Consider the following 25,013-nt stretch of genomic DNA (forward strand, 5'->3'; position numbering starts at 1 on the left):
GACTAGCCTGGCAATATAGCCTTTGTCTCTCCAAAAAATGAAAAAAAATTAGCTGGATGTGGTAGTGTGCCCCTGTAGTTTGACCTTCTTGGGAGGCTGAGGCTGGCGGATTGCTTGAACCTGGGAGTTCAAGGCTGCAGTGAGCTATGATCGCACCACTGCACTCCAGCCTGGACAACAGTGAGATCTCGTCTGGGGATGAGGTCAGGGGGATGCTATCTTTAGTTTTTGTTCTAATCACTGATCTTAAACTGAGGAGGGAAGTTGTGTTTAGAGCTTAGCAATGAAACTATTAATCACTTTCGTTTGTAACTATTTTCATAACAAGTATTTTGGTATTTCAGATGCCAATTCTACAGAGTTTGACCCTACGACCAGTCATCCCGTGGTGAGTCAAGTGTTTGAACCTCCACAGGGCTTAGAAGGGTGTAGAAGGGGCATTTATGAACGTGATTGATGATTAGAGACAAGAAGTGAGACTGCTTGAGTCCATCCCAAAGAACCCTGAGGTTTTGGGCACTCAGACCTACCAGAGAGGAAAAACTTTTCTTTTTCATTATGTAATTCCTCCCTAATCTTTCATTGACCACAGAAAGTTTTTAAGACAGGTACCAGCCCAGGAAACTGGAGGGGATTCCTGATTAAAATTCTTCTCCATCCCTACTCCCCTCAACTCCCAGAACACAGTATAGATACTAATATGAGACCCTGGCATGTGTACTTACTGTGTGCCAGCCGCTGCTCTCACTGCTTTCATATGTATATTTTATATTAATTCATGGGATCCCCAGCCATAGTCCTGGGAGAACTGCTGGGTTGGAGCACTGGTTGGCTTAACCGTATCCAAAGATTTTCCAGGCTGGCGTACCTTGCGTTAGATTTCATGCCGAGGGCATGTGGCATTCTCAGCCCGCTGTACTGTTAGGCACATGGAGGAGGGACGATGCCTTTAATCACCTTTGAATTCCCAGCCCAGGGTGACAGGGATGTAAAGGGAAGGGCACTTATTTACGTTTTTCAGCAGTCAGCAAATGTGAATGCGTACTATATGCTGGGACTGCCCTTGTCACTGAGGACACCGTGCTAAATGAGACGGACAAAGTTCTTGATCTCACGGCACTTAGACAGCATCACTGTGTTTGTTGACCTGAAATTGAACTTTGCTGATACTAAGGCCTCAGGAGTGGACCAGCAAATGTTTTGCAGCATGGGGCTTTGGGGTCAGGAGGAACAGGGCACAGAGAGCCTGGAATCAGAAGGTGCCTGGGAACGCTGGGCTGAGAGGTGGACTGGGCCATCAGTGCATGGCCCACCCAGTCCTCAGATGCTTGCTAAGCTGCAGGGTGCTAGCCCTGCATCCCTTGCCTTTGAGCAGTCATCAGGCTAGCTGGGGCGATGACAGACATGTTATGACACATCCAGTCCGTGTCTGTGCTACTGTATCAGTCTTTCTAAGGAAGTGATGCTTACCGTCCACAGTGCTGGGGCGGGACTAGCCTGAGGAGGGGCTGCTGTGGTCCTGTCTGCAGATCAGGAGGACAGGCTGAAGGACGGAGCCTCCACCCAACCGAGGTTACAAATGCCAACTGGGAGGCATTTTCTTCTGTGACAAAATGTCTCATAAGGAAAGCCTGGAGAATTAGAGCTTACTTACAAGCCTTTGCCACCCACTCAGCGAGGGAGGTTTCTCTCTAGCGGAAGCAGAGTTCTGTAGTTGGTGTCTGTTTTCTGAACATCTCCAGGTCGTAGACATGCCAGAACACAACCCAGGGCAGATGGGCGGAACCATGAGGCTGGGCAAGAGGAGAACCCTGTTCCAGACCAAGAACTCAGTCATGAGTAAGAGCTGCCTCACGCTGGCCCAGCCTTTGGCTCTGCGTGCCCAGGACGCGTGTCTTAGGGTGATGCTGTGGCTTCGAGGAGCAGGCTGGCTTTTTTTGGTTTCGTTCTTGCTTTTGAAGTTCATTCTTTCCTCTCTTATTCATACCCTTTTAGGATGCACTGTGATAGCCATAGAAGCAGTGTGGGTCTTAGAAAGGACACTGGCAGTGCAGTCAGACTCCTAGGCATGGGCGCCTCAACAGAATGAGGCAGTGAGGTTACATTCATCCTTATCGGTTACTTTCCTATTAAGACCAGCCATATCAATTGCTGATGTTTGGCAATTTTTGTCACACAAAGATGGCAATTTCATATGATTCAGCCTAAGTAGATTCTGTTCTAATAAAGTACTAATAGATGCTGAAGGTTTAGGGTAGTTTTCGGAGGAAAATAGTTAAGAAAATGACTATTACACAGATTTCCTTCTTGTCTACTGGGAAAATTCTGCCTTTACTGTATTAGCAGAGGCACCCTTGTGTCTGTCTGGGCGTTCTGTAGCAGCATAGCTGGAGTCACTTGAGTATCGGATCTTTCTCTTACCAACTCTGATGTTCTGTGGATTTGGGGATCTCGAGGCAACTGTGAAATGAGTCAGTAGAGCAGCCCGTTCGCAAATGTCCAGCTTGTTCACATGCAGCCACTGAGGGCTGATGACCTTTGATGACCATGATTGGAACTGAATGATCATCAGAGGTCATCTGTGCAGCTCTTAAAATGCCTCCCATCCTGCCACGTTCCCAGGGCCTTGCCGTTTCGTACATCCTGATTTGCTTTCCAAGGCAGTTTTCTAGCAGCAAAGTGCCCATACTTTGCAATCATGTGTTTGAGGGTGGTGGTGAGAGTCTTGTTTCTGTTACAGCTTTCTGTAGTGTTGTCAGAAAGAGTCAAAAGCCCAAGAATTAGTCTAAACTGTGTTGTTAAGAGCAGGTGACCTTAGCAGATTCATAGAAATAGCCCTCAAAAGACCTGGCTGTGTGGATGATGAAAAGTAAAGCAGGAAGGAGGATGTCTTTGTGAACGCATCATCCTGTGAGATAAAGTTCTTTACATACAGCCCGTTTGTTTTGCCAGGGAAACTCTATGGAGACGCAGACTACTTGGAAGAGAGGCACCGCCACCGATTTGAGGTGAGGATTCCAGCTTGCTGGTACTCTGGAAAGATAGTGAGCTGAGAGACCAGCAGAATTATTTTTCATGCCTCAACAGGTGAATCCAGTCTGGAAAAAGTGTTTGGAAGAACAAGGCTTGAAGTTTGTTGGCCAAGATGTTGAAGGAGAGAGAATGGAAATTGTGGAGTTAGAAGGTGATTATTCGGGCAGTTTTATTTAATGGAAAACTTAGTAAAGTTTTCTTGGCATATGGGAAAATATAAAAATGTTATCTTGTTGCTCCTGACCTAACAGAATTAGGAAGCAGCACTGTCTCATGAGGGAAGGGGTCTTGATAAACATGGGGTCTGGACTCTAGAAACTTCTTTCTGGTACATGGCCTTCCTCGGGGAGCCATTTAACTTCTGGCCGCAGTTTCTCCTTCTCCAAAATGCTTGGAGTTGGTACTAAAGCCACTTCAGCCCTCTCCTGAACCGCAAGACTCAGTCTACAGAAATCCTGGGAGCCAGGGTCTTGGGCGGGACCCTGGACAGGAGGCCTTCAGCCAGGAGGGGACAGCACAAACCGTGCTGAGAAAGGGTATCAGATCACTCATGCTTTGAGGTTCCCTTTATCTAGATTCAAATGAGAAAGTCATTTTCAAATTATTTTAGGGCCTATGGAAACAAACATTTAAGCAGATTTTGTTCTTTTACACTTTGTGCATAACCTTCACAATGAAGCTGTTTCTTTTGAATCTCTATTTCAGATCATCCCTTTTTTGTTGGGGTTCAGTACCACCCTGAGTTCCTGTCCAGGCCTATCAAGCCCTCCCCACCATACTTTGGCCTCCTCCTGGCCTCTGTGGGGCGGCTCTCACATTACCTCCAGAAAGGCTGCAGGCTCTCACCCAGGTAGGCGCACTCTTTGCTTCAGTAATCCATTAGTCTTCTCTAGTCCTTTAGGTGGTCGCTGATTCATTACAGCAACACGTCACAGTCAGTCATAAGAAAAAAAAGCCACAGGCGCCTGGGGTGAAAGTTTCCTCTCCTTTCCCGGAGCTTTCTCACGGTGTTTCCCTGGCATATTGGCCAGGTCCCCCTTTCTGCAGCATCTGAGCTCTGGTGGTGCTGACCAGATCACACTTGGCGTAGGACCCTCTGGTCCATGTTAAGGGGAACTAGTTTTTCCTGGGAAGTAAGCCACAATGGGTAGGTTTATGTCCCATTGCCACCTTTATCCAGAACCAGTACTCAGAGTTGGTGGTAGGGTGTGTGACTGAAGTATAAATGGAATGTATATCTTTTGTAGCTAGAAGAAGGAAATCTTTCTGCAGTTTCATGTTAAATATATTATGTAGCAAACAGTCTTTGTGATTCCTGCCATGTGCAGGCAAGTGTCCCTGTAGGAACCGTGGTTACAAAAACAGGGACGTAAAGTGAGTTTTTGGTGGGAGATGATGCGTAAACCATCTGAATTCTACAGGGACACCTATAGTGACAGGAGTGGAAGCAGCTCCCCTGACTCTGAAATCACCGAACTGAAGTTTCCATCAATAAATCATGACTGATCTTGTAGCGTAAGTGGTACTTTAAAGTTTTAGTTTTTAAAAACATGGTGATAACACACTGCGATTGCAAGAATATCATGGAAGTTTAGGGCTGAAAATTTTTATCTGCCAGGAATGAAAGTGGTGAGGTCTTGAATATAATCCAGAGGTTGAGAGAGAAAAGAAAGTAGTGAGGTCATTGTGGGTATCAAATGGGCAGCCCTTCCTCCAAGTTGCAGTGCACCTCCCAGTCCTGCCCTGGGGATGACAGCTTGGGGAGCATGGTCACTGGGCAGTTGTCTCAATACTGATTACTACATTCTGGTGCCAGTCTGACCAGTTCTGGGGCGGGGAAGGGGAGGGTCTGAATTCTTAGACCCTATTGTTTGATGTAGCTGTAAATTTTGGAGATCTTGAAGGAAGGGACAGATACAACAATGTGGCACTTGTCATTTCTGCAGAGCCTCAGGTTTTCATCAGGAAGTACTTTAAAACTGACACTGCTTAGAGAACTTTTTTTTGTTGATTGCTGCTTATTCTGGAATTCCTTCAAAGTTGGAACAATTGCCAAATAGACGTCGAATGTTTGTCTATTAAGTGACAGGGTTTGTAGGTTCATAAAGTGCAATAACTGTGGGCACTGCCACGAAATGTAAATGTCCTTTGAGATAACTGTGTGGACTGTGTTGGCAGAAGTACGCATTCTGCTGGTGAGGTATCAAATGAGGGAGTGTCAGTCATCTGGGGTCTGGAATAAGAACCAGGGGTATGGGTGTGTGGTTCCACCGCTCCTGCCCTAAGGCCTGGGCAGGGGGACCTCCCTGAATCCTGCACACCGTGTGTTCATCACCAGTGGGCCTCTGGTGCTGGGTCAGTGCCGGTCTGACCTGCTGATCCCAGCTGTTTCCCCTCCTGCCTTGGTTGGTTGACCCCCTGTCCTGGCATAGCCTAAGTAGGTGGTGGGTAGGCATGAGAAGTTAGTATCAGGAGGAGGGCCTGTGTGCTAGGTAAGCGTTTAACACGGATGGACTCATTAATCCCCTGACCAGGGAGTTTGCTATAGGCTGTTTCACAGTCTTAAGGAGCTGATACAACAAGAACTGTTACCAGTGAAGGAGGTAGATATTTGGTCAGTTACATGGAATTTCTGACTGCCTCGCAAGTGGAGAATTGCCCGTTAGTGACACTGTTACGAGGTGCTGTGGAGAAAGAATGCTTGCATTGGGTGGTTGTAGAAGTCGATGTGTGAGGTCTTGAAAAGGTCTGATTCTGTAGGAATTATAAATTTAGCGTCTAATTATTCCCAGTAGGCTCCTTCTACTGCTCTGCCATGAAAAACAGGCTTAGTTTCCCATGGCAGCTGACTAGAAATTCTAACTTTTCTACTTTAATGTACATCATATAATTCCCACTTTTTTTTTTCTTTTAAACAGGGATGATTCTTCAAGAGACCCTTCAAACTTGGGTAGAGTTTACAGCTCTGACTTTACACTCGGCTTTGGAGACTTTCTTTAAATTATGTTTTTATTAAGATTATTTTATTATGCGGAAAGGTATTTGGGAAACTTGTCACTTGCATGTCCCATCACGTGTACTGGCTCCTCTGTGGTGTCTGCCTGTTGCGTGACACTCTCCTTGCAGTTCTTGAGTTGCGGCAGAACATCGCGATGGGAACCGATGGTGGGTGGGGCTGCAGAGTGCCCCATCGGTCACCTTGTTTCTCAACTACCTCGCATCATTGCAGATGCTAGCGCGTTGCCTGTCGCTTTCCCTTGGATACCTAGACCGTTATAAAGTGTGCCACATGGACTTACCGAGCATGGAGAGAGGATTTTAGCTAGGATTTGAACACTTGGTGCTGGGAACCTCAGGGTATTGCTTGCCACTAAGCCATGAAACCAGAGACAAAATCTCTATACTGCCCTGAGTTGGGGGGAATTCTCAGTGCCAACTGTGGCTGGTCCTCATTCAAAGGGACGGTCAGTTTGGTGTCAACATGAAACACCAAGATGTCTGTCTCTGAAGCGTGATTTTAAAATCCCCATGCCTGTGGCTGCGCTTCCTATTTCTAGGGCTGGGAAACACTCCTTGCATCAAGGGGTCACTTACAGAACAAAGAATCTTTTGGGGGAAACTTCCTCTAAAACCCTCTCATATATAGACAGCTTTGACTGGAGGGTCCATTTTTCTTCCAGGATGGTGTTACTGCAGTTGAAAGGGCAATATGAAGTTACTTTCTTAATGTGACCTAGCAATAGGCATAGCTACGTGGCACTATATTCTGGCCAGACTCGATGTGTACTCTAACTTAAGAAATAAATCAGTAAGGCAGAACAAGAGACATGCTTTGCTTCTCATTCTCTTTATGTCATTGGCCAGATGGGAAGCGTCTGAGCACGTTGCTGGCTTGCTTGTGTGCAGTCAGCTGAATTGTCAGTGCCGGGTGCTCCTGCAGGTGAGCAGCCTTGACTCAGCAGACAACCTGAGAGTTTGTTTAAAAACTAAGAAATGAGGCTTTCTTTTTAATAGGAACCAGAATTTTTCATAAAGCTTCAAATACAGGTTCTCAGCATGTAGAGCGAGATGAAAAGGTGCATGGGTGCTATTATGGTGCTATTTATGACTGAGAAAGGGGAGGGATAAGCATGATTTAGGAAGGTGGTCCTTTCCTCTGCCAGGCACTGGACGTGGGTACCCCATATACACAGCCAGTGAGCAGTGGGCCAGACTGTCTTCACCAGCAGAACTGCTTGTTATGGTACTTTGAACGTGGCTGATTGAGCATAATTCTAACCTCTTCTCCCACCTGGTGGTACCAGGAGATTGTCTTCATTTTAAATTTTATTTATTTATTTATTTATTTTTTTGAGTCAGGGTCTCACTCTGTTGCCCAGGCTGGAGTGCAGTGGCACAAGCACGGCTTGCTGCAGACCTCCTGGGCTCATAAGATCCTCCCACCTCAGCCTTCCAAGTAGCTGGGACTACAGGTTCACATCACCACGCCCAGCTAATTAAATTTTTTTTTTTTTTAATAGACAGGGTCTCGCTGTGTTGGCCAGGCTGGTCTTGAACGCCTGGCCTCAGGCGATCCTCCCATAGTGCAGGGATTATAGGCATGAGCCATTGCACCTGGTCAATAGTCTTTTTTTTGAGATGGAGTCTCACACTGTTGCCTGGGCTGGAGTACAGTGGCGTGATCTTGGCTCACTGCCACCTCCACCTCGCAGGTTCAAGTGATTCTGTTTGCCTCACCTTCCCAAGTAGCTGGGATTACAGGTGCCTGCCACCACGCCCATCTAATTGTTTTGTATTTTTAGTAGAGATGGGGTTTCACTATGTTGGCTAGGCTGGCCGTGATCTGCTCATCTCAGCGTCCCAAAGTGCTGGGATTACAGGCGTGAGCCACCACGTCTGGCCCGTTTTTTTTCAAACATTCCCCAAACTGAGGGTCTGACACGCCCGTTGTTGACATCATGGTCCCCCACAATGGCTGGGTGTGTGGGTGGTGTGAAAAAGCCTCCCAGTAATTAAGTTCCTGCCCCTATGTTTAAGATCACTTTGGCTGATCACTTGTCAAGTGCTGGCCACATAATGTAAGGTTTCTGAAAAAAGAGATCCCAGATGGCTCTCCAGAGCTTGCAAAGCTCGAGCAGCCCCGCCACGCTGGCTGTGGCAGACAGGATAGGGCTGAAGCTGGATTTACAGGAGGGCAACCTGTGCCCAGTGTTTACTGACCCGTCCCCGGAGGCTTCTCCCTCATGGGGAGGAAAGCTGGTCACATTCCTCGTTCCTTTCTTAATGTGACCTAACAATAGGCACAGCTATGTGTAACTTCCCTTCAGTAACTTCCTTCAGTCCAGGGAACTTCCCTTCAGTCCAGGGGATCTGGGCAGTTCTTAGCAGTCTGGAGCAGCTGGGCTGAAGCCTGACTTCACCCTTCCTTTGTAGAAATCTGCTCTTTTCCCCCGAAAAACATTTCCGAGGATTGTGGTGCCTGGACTAGCATTTAGCATGGTACCTGGACCGTGGAAGGTGCTCAGAAATGCCACTCCTCCTTCTTGAGTAACACATTTGTGTAGTTTTCAAACAGTCTTGGTGACCTTGGGGCAGCTCGGGGGGTGAGCAGCAGGAGTTTGGTAACCTGCCACCATATAGGTGTCTGTGATCACATTGGTCCCTAACCAGCATGAATGGCAGCCGAGGCAGGGGTTGTGTGCTCTTTGCTAAGTGGGAAAACCAGGTCTCAGAGCAGTTGTGATCACCCAGAAAATGTCACCTGGCTGGTGAGTGGAGGGGCTGGGGGTTCCAAAGTTCTCATCTGTGTCTGCTGTGGATGTGGCCAGGGTCTTCAAGTTTTAGGGGATCAACTGAAGTGTGTTCTGTGGAACACTAGTCCTGTGAAATGCCCTGTTCAACAAGGTTTGGTGATTTTCTGGTGGCTCAGACCCCAAATTTAGGAGTATCCTTAATTGTCTCACCAGCAGGTATTTATTGGGTGTCTACCATATGCCAGCCATACCCAAACCCCTGTCCCCCAGAGCAGTTATTCAGTGGGGGAAGCACCAAATATAAGCTACAGAGTGTGGTAGTTCATAGATGGAGACCAGGGGTGGAAGTGAGCAGGGGAGTGGCAGTGCTGGGAGGTGGTGTCTTTAAAATAGGGTGGGTGGGAAATTAAGCATGGACTTGAAGGTGAAGAGGAAAGGAAATAGGCCGCTATGTAGCGCAGAGGCCCCGAGGCAGGAGTGCAAATGAAACAAGTTGGTGGGCGTGGCTGAAGTGGCTTACATAAGGGGCGGAAGACATTGAGGTTGGGTGGGCTAGGTGGTGGAGAACCATGTAGGCCATCAAGTTTGGGCTTTGCTCTTGAAGAATTTGGAGGGCTATGGGTGCAGGTGTGGCGTGAGTGTGATCAGACTCTGGCTTTGCAGCCTCTGGCTCAGCTGGTGGAGACAGCAGGAGAAACGGCCAGAGGCAGGAAGCAGCTGGAGGAGTCTGGTTTTTTTTGTTTGTTTTAAGCTAACGGTCTTACTGGACCAGAGGGGTCTTGGAAAGGAACTGAGACCCTTAGTGTGAGGTGCTGCTCTGTGCCACAGCTGGCGTAGACACAGGGCACTGGCCCGATGGTGACAAAATGCCCCTGGCCATTGTCACTGTCTTATAGATGAAGAAACTGAAGCACAGAGGCATAGCACTTTGCCCCACGGTCCCTGGTCTTTAAGACAGAGCTGGACTGGAGTCTGAGGGGCTGGGCTCCCTGCCCTTGCAGGTCTGTCCTCTGCCTCCTGGACAGAGGTGGGCTGGGCCTGGGACTCATGACCCTGCAGCATCTGACCGGCTGACCCAGTGTCCTAGAAAGAACCATTCTTGTCCCAGGTGCATGTAATTTATTAATGGAGCTTTGACAGTCACAAGTTCCAGCAAGTCAGGGGTGGGGGCTGCAGGGTGGCCTCTTGCCCTGTAACCACAGTCATCAAATATGCCTCGCCATCTTTGAGGGGCTTTCCTGAGATGACAGATTCCTTTCTGGCACTGTGTAGCCAACTGGAGTCACAGACCTCAGCCTGGGCCAAATGAGCATTTTAGGGAGAAGGACAATCCCTTATAGCTTAGCCCTAGGGGAGCTCTGGGCAGGGTTTTACACATTCTTTCTGAAAGTAAGGTCATTTGGGGACAGGGCTGAGAGCAGTTTCTTGGCTACACAGATGGGTCTGTCAGGGTTGAAGCCACATGGGTGCCTGCTCATGTGCCATGTTGAAGGAGTCCCTGTCCGCCTCTCAGCAGCCCGCATGGGCTTTACTGGTTGGCCTTACACTCAAACAGGAAATCCCTGGGTCTCAGGTGGAGAGTGCCGTGCCGTCCTGCCTGCTCCCCAGGGCCCTCACAGGACACAGCAGGTGCAGGACACAGGCCCGTGCTGCTGCAGCTGCTGCTGGAGCTGCTCCTTCTCCATCATCAGCGCCTTCATCTTCTCTTCCAGCTTGCCCAGCTCCACCAGCCACCTCTGAGGGGACATGGGAAAAGCATGTGGCCAAGCCCGCCTGGTCTCGGGCCTGTCCGTCCTCCACCTGGGGCCAAACTGAGGGAGGAAGGCAAAGCCCAGGAGCCTGAGAGCTTTCTCAGCTAGGGGAAAAGTCAGGCCCCTCGGCCTGCTGCCACCTTCAACCGTGTCAGCCTGAGGGAAGCTGCCGGCTGCCAGCCATGGAAGGGAGCCTCCTCCGTGCTGGGCAGGCCATGTGCCTCCTCACTGTTGGTCCCTTGTCCTCCATTCTCTGTTTCCCTCTTGAAAAAGCTCTTCCTTGGGACTGTGTCTTGCCCCCTCTGCCGCTTTAGGGCCTCCCCTAAAATGCAGTGTATAGTCTTTGGGGTTTTCTGGTGACATCTCAACATTCCAGTCTCTCTGCTCCCTCACTCAAGATCGAGTGTGTTAACTGCCCAAGTAGAGGGTGAGGGGTTTCAGGCACCCCTGAAGGGAGGATACTGCATAGGATTTTTTTTTTTTTGAGATGGAGTCTCGGTCTGTCGCCCAGGCTGGAGTGCAGTGGCGCGATCTCGGCTCACTGCAACCTCCGCTTCCCAGATTCGATCGATTCTCCTGCCTCACCCTCTCGAGTATTTGGAACTACAGGCGCCCGCCACCATGCCCAGCTAATTTTTGTATTTTTAGTAGAGACGAGGGTTCACCATGTTGGCCAGGCTGGTCTCGAACTCCTGACCTTGTGATCTGTTCGCCTCATCCTCCCAAAGTGCTGGGATTACAGGCGTGAGCCACTGCGCCTGGCCACTGCATAGATTTTTAAAAGGAGAGAGCTTGGGCCTCTTCCTTCCCACCAGCCACCTACCCGCGGAGTATGGGATGTGGTGTGATTGTATTCCAACCCCTTGGGTTCAACGGGGTGATGCAGGACCCAGGGAACCATGGTGGCTTGCCCTGGGCTGCTCAGTGGGTGGCTGAAGGGGTCTGGGGTCAGCTCCGCTCCACCCCACCCACTGGCCTCAGCTTCCGTACCTGCCTGCACCACTCCTGGATGGCGCTGGCAGACAGCGGGCCCTGGATGCTCCCGTCGCGCCGCAGAAACACCTCCCCCTGGTCTGTCTGGTAGAGTTGCGGCTGGCTCTGGGCCTTGGGGGTGTGCACGGTCAGGCGGATCACCTTGGTAGGGGCAACAGCAGCTCTGGAGGCGCCGCCCCTCACGGTCGGCAGCCCCCATCCTGCCAGGCTGCTCAGCATTGCTCACTGATTCCTTAGGGCAGGCCAGCAGGGCTGGCACAGGGGCCATCCCCAGCCTCTTCTCCTGTGGCCCCCAGTCCCGTCCCTGCCCCAGCACTGCCTGGCAGGAGTGCAGGCCATCGTCTTACTGAGTGATGACAGATGACAGGCCCAGAGGCCCTCCTGTCCTGCAGGCTCACCTTGAGGGGGACGCTGGTCTCCGAGGTACTGATCACAGGGATGAAGGTGAGAGTGTAGGCATCGGGAAAGATCTGAGGCTTGAAGCCCTGCAGGATGGAGTCCACCAGCAGGCGTGCGCGGTCCTCGTCACGGTGGCTGCAGCGGATGCCCTGCACCAGGCCGCTGTCCTCTACTCCCACGAGCAGGCTGCCGCCCTCGCTGTTGAGGAAGGCGCACACGTAGCGCCGCACGTGGTGCTTGAAGGCCAGGCTGAGGTACTCGCCGCTACCCCGCTTGAACTCCATATTGCGGGTCTCGCTGCCCAGGAAGGCACCCTGGAAGAGCTGGTCCTTGCCCACGATCTGCTGGTGCACAATGGCACTGTCGGAGCACACGCCGCTGGGCCGGCCCTGGCAGCTCTGCAGCTGCTGGGCCTGGGGCCTATCAGGCAGCGTGTGTGTAGGCCAGGTGGGCAGCGGGACACCAGAGCCTGGACTGGGGCCAGGGCTCAGGCCACTGTCCTCCTCCTCCTCCTCCTTCTCCTAGGGTGGTAGTCAAGAATGAATGTATGGGTCCAGCCAGGAAATGGGAGCCCTGACCCTGAGAAGGACTGCAAGAACCCCCAGTCAGGCCCCTGCTGCAGCCTGACTCTTACGGACATCCTGATGCCCCTCACCAGGCCGAGGGGCCCAGTTCTGCCCACCCTCCTGCAGCCGAGGCAGGAAACCCTGCTGGATCGAGGGTTCCAGTCAGCGCTCCTTTCCCTGCCAAGCTGGGCCCTTCCCAGGTGAGCTGTGGGATGCCTGGTGGGGAAGAAGAGATTTCTGCTTCTCAGGGCTGGGTGCTGGGACATGTGTGGGCCCATTTTTTCTTACTTGGGTTGCAGACAGGCCCCTGAGGCCCAGAACCAGATCATTCCAGCAGGTATCTCAGCACCCTGTGACAGAGCTGCAGTACCCTGAATGGAGAGGGACTCCCAGGTACCCCACCCACTTCCTGATTTCAAACCTTTGCCCACTACTTGCTGGGCTATTGACAAGTCCGCCCTAATCCCCACTTTCTTCTGCGCCTCCTGAATCTCCTTTCATGGTTTGGGCTCTGCTCGAGGGCTTGGTGTGAGCCTCCTCGGGGCCACTTCCTAGTCTGGGCCTCCCCAGCGAGCCCCTCCCTGACCTCCCTGCTTCCAGGCTCACCCTTTCATGTCAACCCTCCTGTTTTTTTTTTTTTTTTTTTTTTTTTGAGACAGAGTCTCGCCCTGTCACCCAGGCTGGATGGAGTGCAGTGGCGTGATCTCGGCTCACTGCAAGCTCCGCCTTCCGGGTTCAAGCCATTCTCCTGCCTCAGCCTCCCGAGTAGCTGGGATTACAGGGGCCCGCCACCACGCCCGGCTAATTTTTTTGTATTTTTAGTAGAGACGGGGTTTCACCATGGTCTCGATCTCCTGACCTCGTGATCTGCCCGCCTCAGCCTCCCAAAGTGCTGGGATTACAAGCGTGAGCCACCGCGCCCAGCCAACCCTCCTTAGTGACGCTAACTTCAAGGCAGATTGTTACTCCTCACAATTCTTTCATGAGCGTGGGTTGGGGTGAGGAGACTGAGGCACCTCCCTACCAGCCCTGCAGCTCCCCAGAGAAGATGAATTTATCAGTCTTAGAAACAGGATAAACTTCATACAAATGTGAAATTGAGTTGAAATGTAAGCCACAGAGCCTTTTAGTTCTGCAACAGTTTAAACACCATCATTTTCACACCAAAAGAAACCAAAATCACCTGTCTCATGGAGTGACCTATCCTAACGTCCCATGTCCCACCCAATAAAGCCAGCAGTTCAGCCTTGCCTTGGATGATAGCCTTGGTGACCTGGCCCCTACCCTACCTTCTGGCCCAACTTCCTTCCTTAGCACCCCCTGCAGCCTTTAGTGGGAGCTCCAGGGACACCAAATGGTTTGCCCTTCTGCAGACATGACACTCCCTCTAAGCCCCCAGGTTCCTCTGCATATTCTGTGTCCCTTGCCTGGAATGTCCTCCCTTGCAAGTGCCTGTCCAACTCCCTAAGTCCCGGCCTGGATTTCACTTCCCCTGTTAATCTGTCCCCAGAGAGCAGGGCAAACCTTCCTGTCTTCTCTCACAGCTCTGAGCGCAGCCACCTTGCAGCTCGGTGGGTGGCTGTCCAGCTCTGGCCACAGATGCAGGGCTTCCTGGGGGCCTGGCTGGGCCTCTCATCCCTGCCTTACTCTTGGCACAGAGGGGGTGTTCATGTTTGTCAATTGAACAAATGAGTTGGGCCAAGGAGAAAATCGGGGCCCCTGTGTCTTCTAGGGTCTCCCAGGCCCAGAGGCTGGAATGTAAAAGGACCTAAGGAGAGGAGGTCCCCTCGTGGCCTTTCTTCACACAAACGTCGGGCTTGAGCTTGAGGCAAACTGTTTTTCCCAGAGAAAGCTGGCAGTACCAGCCGCAAGCCATGGTCATTTGAGTGGCAGCCCCCAAGTTTGCAGATTTGTCCCTGCTTCCCCAGAGACACCCCTCCATCCCCACTCTGCAGGCCACTCCCACTCAGAGGCTCTCCCTTGGGGTGAGGCTTTGGAGCTTGCTTGGGAAAAGTCCCACTTACCTCTCTGTGGCTGAAGGGCCCTTGGGCCTCACTCAATAGCAGGTCCTTCCCACGGGCTGCCAGCTCCTTGAGGATTAGGTGCTCCTCCAGGGCCGTCTGCAGGCGCCAGGGGAGGGAGGCCAGGGTGTCCCTGTGGACAGTCACCTGCACCAGTGCATAGGCCTTCCGCGGCCGCCTCACCACTTCAATGTGCTCCCGCGCCACCGGCATCTCCAGCCGCTCCAGGGTGTCTCGCAGCAGGCAGGCAAGCACCGGCACTGAGAACTGGGGGTTCAGATGGCCCACATAGAGAGTGTGCGCCGAGGGAGCCTCCTCGAGGTCAGAGTACTCCGTCAGGGACTGCTCTGCGGGTAGCTCCGGCAGGGACTCCTCACCCCAGGACTCCATGAAGGGCTCTGACACCTGTGTTTGCACTGATCTCTTCATGGGGGTCATGGGAAGGCTCTCCCTGGGAAGGGGTTCCAGGATTCCTCACTGCTGGCTGCTTCTCCCAGGGTCTGTGTTCTCAGTGTGGCTTAAGGGCTCCCAGAGGACTCAGGGAGTGTCCCGGCTCCTGGGAGGTACACAGATTGGCAGAGACTGGGCAGGGCCAGAGAGAGGGAGGGCAGAGGGCAAGCAGGAAAGGGCCTGCCACCCACCTGAGGCCTAGGATGAGAAAGCAGAGTCACGTGGACTGAGCAAGACACAGGGCCTGTGGGAAGACGGGATCTGCCCAAAAAGTGGCAGAAGGGACCAGAACTCAGGTCTCTGAGAGCTCCACCATTTCAGTGGCCCCAGGGGTCCTGTCTTCCCTCCCCAACCCACAGGCTAGGGGCCTCCTAGGTACCCTCAGGGTTTCCTGCCTACCAGTTCACTCCTGCCTCCAGGCAACAGAGAAAACCTTTACACAGGGCCTCCTGGAGAGGAGGCCTTAACCCAGGACTCTGAGGACTGGCTGGTGGCCCCATTGCAGCTTCTCTGCCTGCTCTAAAACCCCATGTGAGGCCATCGGGGGCTCTGAAACTAGGCAGCGCTGGGGCAGAGGCTTTTAGAGCAGAGGATCTCACGCTTTTTGGCACACTGATGAAAGCTATGGCCTCTCAGAAAAATGGCCTTTGCATATAAACATAACTTAAGGTGGCTCCTAGACCCTAAGAACTAGTCTAGACTGAGTCCTCCATTTTTGGTCCAGAGAGCAGAGGTCAACAGGGCAGAACGAGGGTTAGAGTTGGGGCCCTAGTGCCCCCGCCCCAAGTCCAGGGAGCCTCTGTCCTGAGCTGTGCACATATGTGCACACACCAGCCCCTCTACTGCTCCCCACACACCCAGCCTGCATCTTCTCAAATGGAATCCTTGAGGCAGTTGGCCTGGGGGCATTCAGGTCAAACAGGAAGAGGAGGAGAGGAGAGGCCTATGACCTTCATGTCCTGGTGGCTCCCGCGGGAGCATGGGAGGTGCCTGCCCTGAGCTCCCATAGCCTCCCGACCCCTGGCCGGTAGCTCTCAGGGAACTTGGAGGCTTGGCACAGGGACGGCCAGAACCAGGGTTATAGGAAGTGGGCGGGGCCTGCACAGCTACCTCTGTGATCTCATGAGGTTCAACAATGCCTTCTTGGCCAGCCACAGGCAGGCTGGGTGCGGGAAATCAAACAGGAAAACTCAGCTCCCTGTGGGTCCCACCACACACTGGAAGCAGACCCAGCGGCCCACCCACCATGCAGCTTGGCTGTGGGACACACTTCCCCACTTAGTGATGTCTCTTCAGGCCCCAGTTCCCATGCAGGTCACCTCTTGCCACCTCTTTCAGCGCTGCTGCCTAAAGCCTCCACCTCCCTCTTTAGTCAGTCACCAATCCCAGGCTCTACTGAGTACTGACAGGGCCCAGCTGCTCCCAAGATGGAGCAGGAGGCACATGGTAGGCTCCAGGGCTCCCCCTGACGCCAGGCCCTTCTCTGTGCTGGAGACAGAGGCTGCTGTCCAGAAGAGCCCTGAAAAATAGGTCAGGCGTAGCTATCTATCTCTTTGGGAAGATGAGGTTGTTACCTGCTGTTGGAGAAACCAAGACGTGGGTGACACACAGTCTTTATCAGCACAGGACTGACCAGTGCTCATCATTCTGCAGAAGGCTGGCAGCGCTTGCCCACACTGCTTCTGGAAGCCCCAATTGGGGGCAGTAAGGATGGTGCCACAGTTAGATGCTTCAACTAAGAAAGCTGTTTGACAGCGTAGAGAAGCTGCCTTCCTTGAAAGCAGCCTTTCTGAAGATGTTACCAAATGTTTGTTTCCTAGGGGGTGAGGCAGTAGTTTGGGTAGAGCACTCAAGAAAAGAGGCTATGGTGTGCGGGGAAGAGAGGGGCGCAGGCCTCAACTGGTGGCAGTGCGAGGCTCTGGGGAGAGTGCATTCGGTGCCCTCTCCTTGCCCGCCCGGGCAGCAGCCAGGTTGGGCTCGGCTTTGTGTCCACAGCTCTTAGGGTTAGAGAATGACGGCTCCAAGCTCCCCCTGCCTCACCCCCTCTCCCTCAAGCCTTTCTTGCCTCTGTCATCCATGAGGTGCCCTCACAGCAACTGAGGCTATAGCTGTTTTGAGATGGCCAACTCAAGTCGTGTTGAACTGTGCAGAAATAGCTGTCCGGGAGAAGCACCTTGACAGACGAAACACCTGAACATGACCAGAGGCGTTCTCCCTACTTACCTAGAGGCCTTGCTATTGGGTGGCTGTTCTGCATGAAATTTCCCAAATTGACTTGAGTGCAGCAACTTTCCCCACTCTTCCTGGCAGTCTCTTTAAGCCACTGCATCACATATTTCTCTGGCGCCTTTAACAGCCTTCTGTGAGCTGAATCAGTTCTACTTCTTTTTGGAGATGGGGGTAAAAATTGTCTTTCATGGTAAGCACTAAACACATTTATGAACCATCTTTTAAATACATAAATATAAGATAACAAGGTTATTTACGGTGTCTCTGGCTCTCTAGTATTAGGTAATAGTATTAGAAAGTATAGGTGCTCTGCAGGCAGCTTGGAGTGGTGGGTTCCCAGTGGGGGGATAAGCAGCCCCGTTAACCCTCTTGCTGGATGTCTGTGACCTCACTGACAAACCTCATCTTGAACTGAAGGAAAAAACCCTAGAATTTAAGCCTCTTTATGAATGTGAGGTGGGGCCCAAAGATGAGGGGCAGAGAGCTGAGCCGCTGTGGATGGCCTCTTTTCATGTTATCTGGACAGTGTCCACTGGGTGGCCCACATGGCCACAATCCCTGAACCCACAGCAGGCATGCCATCCCCTCTTCCCCACAGCTCCCACTTCACAATCTGCTGTTTGCCCAGGAAGGCCAGTCAAGGGGCAGAGGGATAGGGAAGAGGAATGAGCCCAGCCAGGTGCAGGAGAGAACAAGGATGATCAAGAAGAGCGAACTCTGGGGAGCAGAGTTACAAACATAGCTTTCCAGGTCCTGGGACCCACATCACTCCAGCCTCCCTTGGTCTCAAGCCCTCCCCTAGCGTGCTGCCTCCAGCCTGTAGATCCCCACCTGGCTCTGACAGGGCCCAGCCCCAGTTACTGCAGAGTATCTCTGACTTGAGTGGCTCCAGCCTAGTGTCTGTGCCCTGGGTACTGTGGGCTGCCAGCCTCTGTGAGCACCTGCAGTGGCTTTGGCACTGTAGGCACAGAGCCGCAGTTCTGATGCTTGGCTGTGACTGCCTCTGGGCTGAAGGCTGGAAGCTGTGGCTCTGCCCTGACGGAATGTGGTGGCAAGACCATGTCCAGTGACTCAGGGTACTTAGGTAAAGAGGCTGCAAAAAGCTGAGGGCTGCTGAGGGGAGAAGTGTTGGGACCCTCTTCTCAAGGTTTCCCACACTTTTTGTTTTGGTGGTAAAGAAGGAGGGATGATTCACCTTCAGGCTCTTGCCAACGAGGGAGTGTGGCACCAGTGTGAGGGCCGGAACAGTGTCCATTTGGCCCACCATTGCTACACCTCAGGGATCAATCTTAAGGAGTCCCATAAGACCCCCACAAAGAGTGTCTGGACAATGCAGTCCACGGCCAGCAGGCAGGGTGGAGCCACGGCTGGGGAGGGCGGAGTGTTCCAGAAAAATGCCCCACACTCCCATGGATTCGGCCTTAGGTGGGGCCTAGATCTCTGTTACCTCCCAAAGTGTTTGGTGTTTCCCTCCTGAGCTCAGCACAAAGTCAGTGTCATCTCCCTGTCCCCCCATTGAGGGTGAGCACATGAAGCTGATGCCATGAGACCTCTGGCACCTGTGCCTTTCCACCTGGTGGGCTACTGGACTGCTGGGGTTCACGGAGTGGCCTCTCCAACACTGCAGCATGTGTGCACTGGGTCTGAGGCCCGTTCGAGTGCTTTTAATGATTCTGGGTCACTATTAGAAGGCTTTTGGCTTTTGAAACAATTTCCAAAGTTGAGGGGTTTTTTTCTTTCTTAAACAACATTTAATTTTGACCCCAGAGGTTATGGCAGCGTGAATCATCCTCTCCTTTCCTGCAGAACTTGACATTTGGTTACCTTTCTAGTTCTTTTTGTCTGGAAACCAGATAAAAGTATGTTAGCTGTTTCAGTGCAACATTACTTATGGTAAGCATGATTCCTAATTGTAAATTATCAGCACTTGGAGTTTTCTGTGTGAACTATAAACACTTGTTAAAAAGCCATAAGGTTGGGCGTCCTATGTGGAATGACTCAATTGGGTATGTGGCTTATGGGGTCCCTGAAAGCTATGCCTATTGAGTTGTTCAAAGAGATATGAGCTCCTTTGGGGAATGATGCCTCTAAGCCACAGTGAACCAACCCCCTTCTCCCTGATGTGTCTCATTCCCTTGTACCTGAGCTGTCACCTGGGCAACCAAGGAGAATAACTCCTGATGACCAGAGGCTCTGTGAGGACTGCCCTCCTCCCCTGAAGAGGGCTGCTTCCCGCTGCCCTGCAGCCAGGCCATTTCTGTTTGACAGTCTTCAAAGTTAATGACATGCCCAGTGTAGCCTGCAGGGGTCTGGAGTCTGAATGGTAGCTGGATCTGAGACAAAGGCCCACGGGAGAGAGTTGCAGGCAGCAGGACATGTACCCCTTAACAGCTATGGAATTAACCTCTCTAAGCACCTGTAAGATAGGGAAACAGTAGTTATACTATAGGACTGTTGTGAGGTTTCAGTGGGATAGTGTAGAAAAACAACTCAGCACAATGAGTTCTCACAACAATGCTCAGTAGGAAGTTACATACTCTTGGCGAAGAGGGTAAGGTGGGGTGGGTGCCCAGCTTTGCAGCATGTCTGGCCTGCCTACATATGCCAGTGTCACCTTTAGTCCCTGTGTCTTGAGGGTCACATCTAGAAGTTTGTTGTTAGGGTTCAGCAAGGTGCTCATTGGGAATACCCTGAATGAACAGCACAGTCTACAAGATCCCAGTGTTGGCCGGGTGCGGTGGCTCAGGCCTGTAATCCCAGCACTTTGCGAGGCCAAGGCAGGCGGATCACTTGAGGTCAGGAGTTCGAGACCAGCCTGGCCAAGATGGTGAAACTCTACTAAAACTACAAAAAATTAGCCAGGCATGGTGGCGTGTGCCTGTAGTCGCAGCTACTTGGGAGGCTGAGGCATGAGAATCACTTGAACTCGGGAGGCGGAGGTTGCAGGGAGCCGAGATCGTGCCACTGCACTCCAGCCTGGGCGACAGAGACACTGTCAAAAAAAAAAAAAAAACCCCAGTGTCAAGGAGTTGGTAGAAAATGAGGGCCTCAACTTGTTTGGCAGCCTTGACCCTGACTGTTTCACAGTGACCATGGTTAGAACCTCACAGTGGCCAAGTAGAAAATATATTCTAAGTAAGTTATGATATTGGAACTTGTCACTGGTGAAAGCTTGAAGGGCCTTCACAAGTCTCCTCATGCAAATACCCCATAGCCAGATGGGCCCAAAGAAAGGAAATGACCCACCCAAAGCTTCCTGGCACATAGGTGGGCTGGCTAGAACCTCAGCCTTGCAGTCAAATGTCTGCTTTGGCACTTCCTGCCTGTGTGACCTGAGCTTAAGTTTCCTTATCCATAAAATGGGTTTGTTGTGAAGAGTAAGTGAGATAGTTCTAATTCATGTAAGCAGCTCATGTGGCACACAGTGATATAAGTGTTGGTGGTGGTTATTATCAGGTTATACTGCACTGACCTGCTGCTCCCCTATGCCTTCTCTTCCTCCTGCAAACCCTATACTCCAATTATAAACACGACGTGTGGCCCTGGAGTTGTGTGCCTGGCCCCTGGTCAGCACAAGGGGTACAGTGCAGGCCTGACCTGGCTGTGCTGGCCTGCATCTTTCCCCACCCTATATGGGTGAGGATATGCCCAGCCACTGAGGCTCCTAGGAGTTGCTGATGTAAGATTGCTCCCTCCTGCTCTGGCTTTGCATAGCTGCTGTGCTTACTACTGTCTAGCTGCACCAGAGCAAAGCCCTTTGAGGGTGGAGACTGGATTCACATACTGACTTTCCAAGGGGCCTGTGTGATGCTGGGGCTCTGGTGGACATTCGGAAGACCACCTGTTCTTTAGGGACTGCTGGAATTAGAAGGACGCTTAGGAATCATTTTTTCCAAGCTCTCCATTTTATTTATTTGAGACAGGGTCTCAAATTGTCACCTAGGCTGGAGTACAGTGGTGCGAACACGGCTCACTGCAGCCTCGATCTCCTAGGCTCAAGCCATCCCCTCACCTCAGCTCCCCAAGCAGCTGGGACTACAGGTGTGCGCCACCACAGCAGGCTAATTTTTGTATTTTTTTTTTGTAGAGCTGGGGTTTCACCATGTTGCCCAGGCTGGTCTCAAACTCCTGAGCTCAAGAGATCCTCCCACCTTGGCGTCCCAAAGTGCTGGGATTACAGGCATGAGCCAGCGTGCTCGGCCTCGTTTTATGTATGAGAAAACTAAGACCAAGAGAAGGGGAATGACTGGTCCAATGAATGCGTAGTGATTTGGCTGTTAACTGATTAAAAAGACACTGGTATCTATATTGGTTTTTATTTATAAACAGATTGACATAAAATAAGTCCAGATGGCAGCGTGAGTAGCTGTGCTGCTGACTTGCTTACAAGGAAGCCTGTGGACAGGCGAGTGGGTGGAACCGACTCCAGCCTGGAAAACCTGCCCTCCCATCCCCCTTAGCGCCTTCTTGGCCTTCCGGCCTGATTTTCTTCGACAGCAGTTCTGGCCAGGGCAAGGAGCTGTGGTGGGGGCAGTATAAGCCAGGGACTCCCTTCCCACAGATGAGGCCTAGGGCTGCAAAAGGGCCCCGTGAAGAGAGGAGAAGGTGACAGGGATCCTTCTCCTCCCCATATGGAGTGATGTGGTCAAGGCTTTATGGGTCTCTCCACCTCAAAGAGAAAGTGCCCTAGGGTAGTGTCCTCTGAAGAGGGGCCACGCCTATCTGCAGAGGGCCTCTCTGGGACCAAAGCAGGGCAGTCTCCCTCCTCCTGAAACCCAGTGTCTAGTGTGGGAGGAGTATTAACTACAGGGTTTGCCCAAGTGCCAGAAACAATAAATTAACAATAAGATCTTTTTGTAAAAAAGGTAGAGGTTTGCACCACGAGTTTGGATTCAGGGGAATCTGGTGAGAAGGTACGAGCTGTGGGGCGATGGGGTGCCACAGCAAGACCAGGACAGAGTTGGCCTTTTCCTCCATCACGTGGAAGGCATTCAGCCTAAACTCCTGGTGAGAGGCCAGCCAGGGTTGAGAAATAAATAGAGGGACCTTAGAGCCCCGGCAGAGCTGAGGGAAGAGCAGCACCAGCCCTGGACCCCCACTCTCCCTCCTCAGTCCTTCATGGAAGGACTTATCATGGCAGCTGTGGCTAGGAGTGGTGGCTCCACACAGCCTCTTGGAGTCCTGAGGTGGCCCGGAACCCCACTGAGGTGCCTGGGGTGGGCTGATGCCCCTCATTCCTAGAAGAATGCCCCCACCTGCTGCCACTTGGTTGTCTAGGCTGCCTCTCCTGGTTCAGAACTTGCCCTGCTTCAGCCGGTCAATGTGGTAGGAGAGCTTGAGTGCAGGCCCCAGCTTCAGGCCCATGTACTTCATCATCATGTCACTGCGCAGCAGCAGCAGGGCCTTGCCATCGATCTCCTGGGGGGTGGGGAGGTGGGCAGAAGTGGAAGGGAGGCACCATCAGAGTCCTGGTTGGTCTGACCACCCCAGGTTCTGATTATAGGCCATCCTGGGAAGTGCCCGCCACATGGAGTCCAGTTCACCTGCTGTGATGCTGAAGCCTACCTGTTCTCCTCAGCCTTTGTCTCTAAGCATCCCTCCTCCCCAAACATCTCGTATTGTCCCCACCAGGTGAGGCTCTCCACACAGGTTCCTACTGAGAGGTCAGGCAGCAGCACCTACGTGTTTGCGAAACAGGTCAGCGTGGGGTCCAAGCTGAGGATCAGCTTCCCGGACAAACTGCATCACATCCTCGACTGTCCATGAGGAGGGGTCCCGGCCACTCAGTCGAGAGGCATCGCGGCTCTCCAGGTATCGGTCCGACCCTGCAGGACAGGAGGGCACCTACCATAAAGGGCGGGGACTGGTTTGTAAATCCCCACCACTCTCCTTGGCACATCTCAGTGGCCTTCTAGGTGATGCTCACAGTAGTGCCAGACGATGAGCTGAGGAACTGGAGATAGCTGGGGGAGGGAAGCATTTCTTCACAAAGGGAAAGCCAAATCTTTGTTTTTTAAGGGTAGATCTGATTTTTGGAAATGGCCAGAAGAAATTTTGCATTGAGGCTATGATTCAGCCCAAACCTGAGACAGTGGTACCAACATGGTAAGGGGACTATTTGGGTGTCTGGGGGGCCTGGTGAGTGGGGCTGTTTTTGCCTTGGCTCTGGGGGACCATTTCTAGAGAGACTGGTAGCCTGGTAAGATTAGAGACAAATCCTTGGCACGTGGGCAAAAAATACCCTGGATTCTTTTCCAAGGCCTGGAGAATAGGTGACCTCATTACAGCCTGATACACTAAGGCAGAAGCTGGTTTTTTGGTTTCTTTGAGATGGAGTCTCGCTCTGTCACCCAGGGGCTGGAGTGCAGTGGCGCCATCTCAGCTCACTGCAACTTCTGCCTCCCAGGTTCAAGCAATTGTCCTGCCTCAGCCTCCTGAGTAGTTGGGATTACAGGCATGCAGTAATTTTTGTATTATTAGTAGAGACGGGGTTTCACCATGTTGGCCTGGCTGGTCTTGAATTCCTGACCTCAAGTGATCTGCCTGCCGTGGCCTCCCAAAGTGCTGGGATTACAGGCGTGAACCACCGCGCCCAGCCACAAAAGTTTTTGCTTTGGCTGCCAGGAATCTCAATGTTAATTTAGTGTTTTGCTTGGAGCTTTCATCTCAATTTTGACTCAGATATAACGCCTCCTGTTTCCCCTGTGGGATTTGGGATCTCTGTATTTTGACTATCATCTGTCAGAGATCTTTTACATGTTTTATTCTCTCTGCTTGGAATCTGTCCCCTTCTCTCCCTTCAATTTTTAATTTTCTTTGGGCAAACTTCAACTTAACTAAGCAGGTCTCGGCTTCAAGGATCAGTTCCTTTATGAAACTTTTCTGGTCAAATACTGAAATAAATGGTCTCACAAAGTATTTAGTATATTCTTGGTTACAGATCATTCTGTACCATTTTCCCCCATCACACCATGCTAGTAATCTCTATTCTCCATGAAGCAGTAAAGGAACCTTTAAAAAGCAATAATTAGGATGGGCATCATGGCTCATGCCTATAATCCCAGCACTTTGGGATGCTGACATGGGAGGATTGCTTGAGCCCAGGAGTTCAAGACCAGCTTGGGCAACAAAGCAAGAACCCCATCTCTACAAAAAATTTTTAAAAATTAGCTGGTATGGTGGCACATGCTTGCAGTCCTAGCTACTCAGAAGGCTGAGGCAGGAGATCATTTGATCCCAGGAGTTCCAGGCTGCAGTGAGCTGTGAGCGCCATTGCAGTCCAGCCTGGGTGACAGAGCGAGACCCTGTCTCAAAAAAAACAAAAACAAAAACAAAAAGAGCAGTAATTGAACCATGTCAACCCCTTCTAAAAACTCAATGCAGTGGCCTCCCTTTGCATATGAAATGAAATCTGAACTCCTTCCTGTGCTTGCCAGCATCTATGAGGTACTCCATCAGCTCAGCCTTCCTACCTTCGGCCTCATTTCACTCTGCAGCCCCTGCCCGCAACTTACCCCTTACTCGCCGTGCTTCAAACACACTAGCCTTCTTTCTGCTTCTTGAATAAGTCAAGCATTTATCCTCTGACATGCAATTTCCTGGGTCTGGAATGTTCTTTTCCCAAATCTTTTCATGCCTGACTCCTTCTCAACATTTGGTTCTTACCTCAAATATTGATTCCACAGAGAGGCCTTCCCTGATCTCCTAGTAAAAATGCTCAATTCCCCGCACAGTTCTCTACAATCCAATTACCCTAGTTTCCCCCTACCCCCACACAGTACATATCGTTACCTAAAATAATTTCATGGACTCATTTAT

General features: G+C 51.6%; 3 protein-coding genes and 1 long non-coding RNA gene across 61 annotated transcripts in view, besides 4 other annotated features; 2 read left to right on the forward strand and 2 right to left on the reverse strand.

The window, feature by feature from the left end:
• Window positions 1-6,859, forward strand: part of CTPS1 (CTP synthase 1) — a 32,870-nt gene extending 26,011 nt beyond the window's left edge. For 5 of the 9 annotated variants that reach the window (NM_001905.4, XM_024453553.2, XM_024453552.2 and 2 more), the window contains 7 exons: window positions 345-388; window positions 1,743-1,839; window positions 2,953-3,008; window positions 3,088-3,184; window positions 3,739-3,883; window positions 4,455-4,548; window positions 5,952-6,859. In NM_001905.4, coding sequence (NP_001896.2) covers window positions 345-388; window positions 1,743-1,839; window positions 2,953-3,008; window positions 3,088-3,184; window positions 3,739-3,883; window positions 4,455-4,539 — 524 coding nt within the window. In that variant the 3' untranslated portion in view covers window positions 4,540-4,548; window positions 5,952-6,859. Of the gene's footprint in view, window positions 1-344; window positions 389-1,742; window positions 1,840-2,952; window positions 3,190-3,738; window positions 3,884-4,454; window positions 4,553-5,951 lie in introns of those variants that run through there. The other 4 variants (XM_047447471.1, XM_047447469.1, NR_125440.2 and 1 more) reach the window with 3 other exon arrangements.
• Window positions 1,179-2,378: an enhancer, noted in NCBI's record as "MED14-independent group 3 enhancer chr1:41472557-41473756 (GRCh37/hg19 assembly coordinates)". NCBI's record gives its function as "activates an origin of replication core promoter dependent on BRD2, BRD4, P300/CBP and CDK7 cofactors, and independent of MED14, by STARR-seq in HCT116 cells {active_cell/tissue: HCT116}" and the evidence as "EXISTENCE:reporter gene assay evidence [ECO:0000049][PMID:35650434]".
• Window positions 1,317-1,517: a silencer, noted in NCBI's record as "peak192 fragment used in MPRA reporter construct". NCBI's record gives its function as "represses an SCP1 promoter by STARR-seq MPRAs in K562 erythroleukemia cells {active_cell/tissue: K562}" and the evidence as "EXISTENCE:reporter gene assay evidence [ECO:0000049][PMID:32103011]".
• The window catches only part of SLFNL1-AS1 (SLFNL1 antisense RNA 1), a 29,301-nt gene continuing 13,171 nt past the window's right edge, over window positions 8,884-25,013 (forward strand). Inside the window, exons 1-2 of the long non-coding RNA NR_037868.1 lie at window positions 8,884-12,695; window positions 22,827-23,006. This is a non-coding gene — a long non-coding RNA (SLFNL1 antisense RNA 1). The remainder of the gene's footprint in view (window positions 12,696-22,826; window positions 23,007-25,013) is intronic.
• On the reverse strand, window positions 9,891-16,019 carry SLFNL1 (schlafen like 1). Of its 18 annotated transcripts, none has more exons than NM_144990.4 (6): window positions 15,917-16,019; window positions 15,158-15,164; window positions 14,520-15,072; window positions 11,929-12,450; window positions 11,528-11,671; window positions 9,891-10,522 (listed from the first exon to the last, which is right to left on the reverse strand). In NM_144990.4, exons 3-6 carry the CDS (start codon window positions 14,952-14,954, stop codon window positions 10,400-10,402), a joined length of 1,224 nt encoding a protein of 407 aa, NP_659427.3. In that variant the 5' UTR covers window positions 14,955-15,072; window positions 15,158-15,164; window positions 15,917-16,019; the 3' UTR covers window positions 9,891-10,399. The 18 variants fall into 18 exon arrangements, with proteins under 18 accessions (NP_659427.3, NP_001287788.1, XP_005270656.1 ...); NM_001300859.2 differs by having other exon boundaries at window positions 11,929-12,273; window positions 15,158-15,227; XM_005270599.3 differs by having other exon boundaries at window positions 15,158-15,227.
• Window positions 12,488-12,657: an enhancer, noted in NCBI's record as "experimental_8011 CRE fragment used in MPRA reporter constructs". NCBI's record gives its function as "activates a minimal promoter by MPRAs in K562 erythroleukemia cells, with activity observed for the non-introgressed 1:41483951 variant allele {active_cell/tissue: K562}" and the evidence as "EXISTENCE:reporter gene assay evidence [ECO:0000049][PMID:34662402]".
• Window positions 21,159-22,077: an enhancer, noted in NCBI's record as "H3K4me1 hESC enhancer chr1:41492537-41493455 (GRCh37/hg19 assembly coordinates)". NCBI's record gives its function as "activates a minimal SCP1, AML or CMV promoter by ChIP-STARR-seq in naive H9 embryonic stem cells {active_cell/tissue: H9 hESC(naive)}" and the evidence as "EXISTENCE:reporter gene assay evidence [ECO:0000049][PMID:30033119]".
• SCMH1 (Scm polycomb group protein homolog 1) overlaps window positions 21,496-25,013 on the reverse strand; it is a 215,105-nt gene continuing 211,587 nt past the window's right edge. For 31 of the 33 annotated variants that reach the window (NR_135092.2, NM_001172222.3, NM_001394309.1 and 28 more), the window contains 2 exons: window positions 22,878-23,020; window positions 21,496-22,613 (listed from right to left, as the gene is read on the reverse strand). Coding sequence is in view for 31 of the 33 variants with exons in the window: in NM_001172222.3 (NP_001165693.1) it covers window positions 22,488-22,613; window positions 22,878-23,020 (269 nt within the window). In the remaining 2 variants the exon portion in view is untranslated. Of the gene's footprint in view, window positions 22,614-22,877; window positions 23,040-25,013 lie in introns of those variants that run through there. The other 2 variants (XM_011541034.2, XR_946584.3) reach the window with 2 other exon arrangements.

This window comes from Homo sapiens, chromosome 1 (assembly GCF_000001405.40).
Source record: "Homo sapiens chromosome 1, GRCh38.p14 Primary Assembly".
NCBI classification, from domain to species: Eukaryota; Metazoa; Chordata; class Mammalia; order Primates; family Hominidae; genus Homo; species Homo sapiens.

What these genes read in the sequence shown, in the direction of transcription:
- SLFNL1 (XM_011540952.3), bottom strand. Translation starts at nt 14,954, where the DNA reads ATGACCCCCATGAAGAGATCAGTGCAAACACAGGTGTCAGAGCCCTTC. An exon ending in AGACCAGCGTCCCCCTCAAG is followed by an intron (nt 11,672 to 11,928) that starts GTGAGCCTGCAG and finishes GCCCCTACCAAG; the next exon opens with GTGATCCGCCTGACCGTGCA. An exon ending in TCCAGGAGTGGTGCAGGCAG is followed by an intron (nt 10,523 to 11,527) that starts GTACGGAAGCTG and finishes ATGTCCCCTCAG; the next exon opens with AGGTGGCTGGTGGAGCTGGG.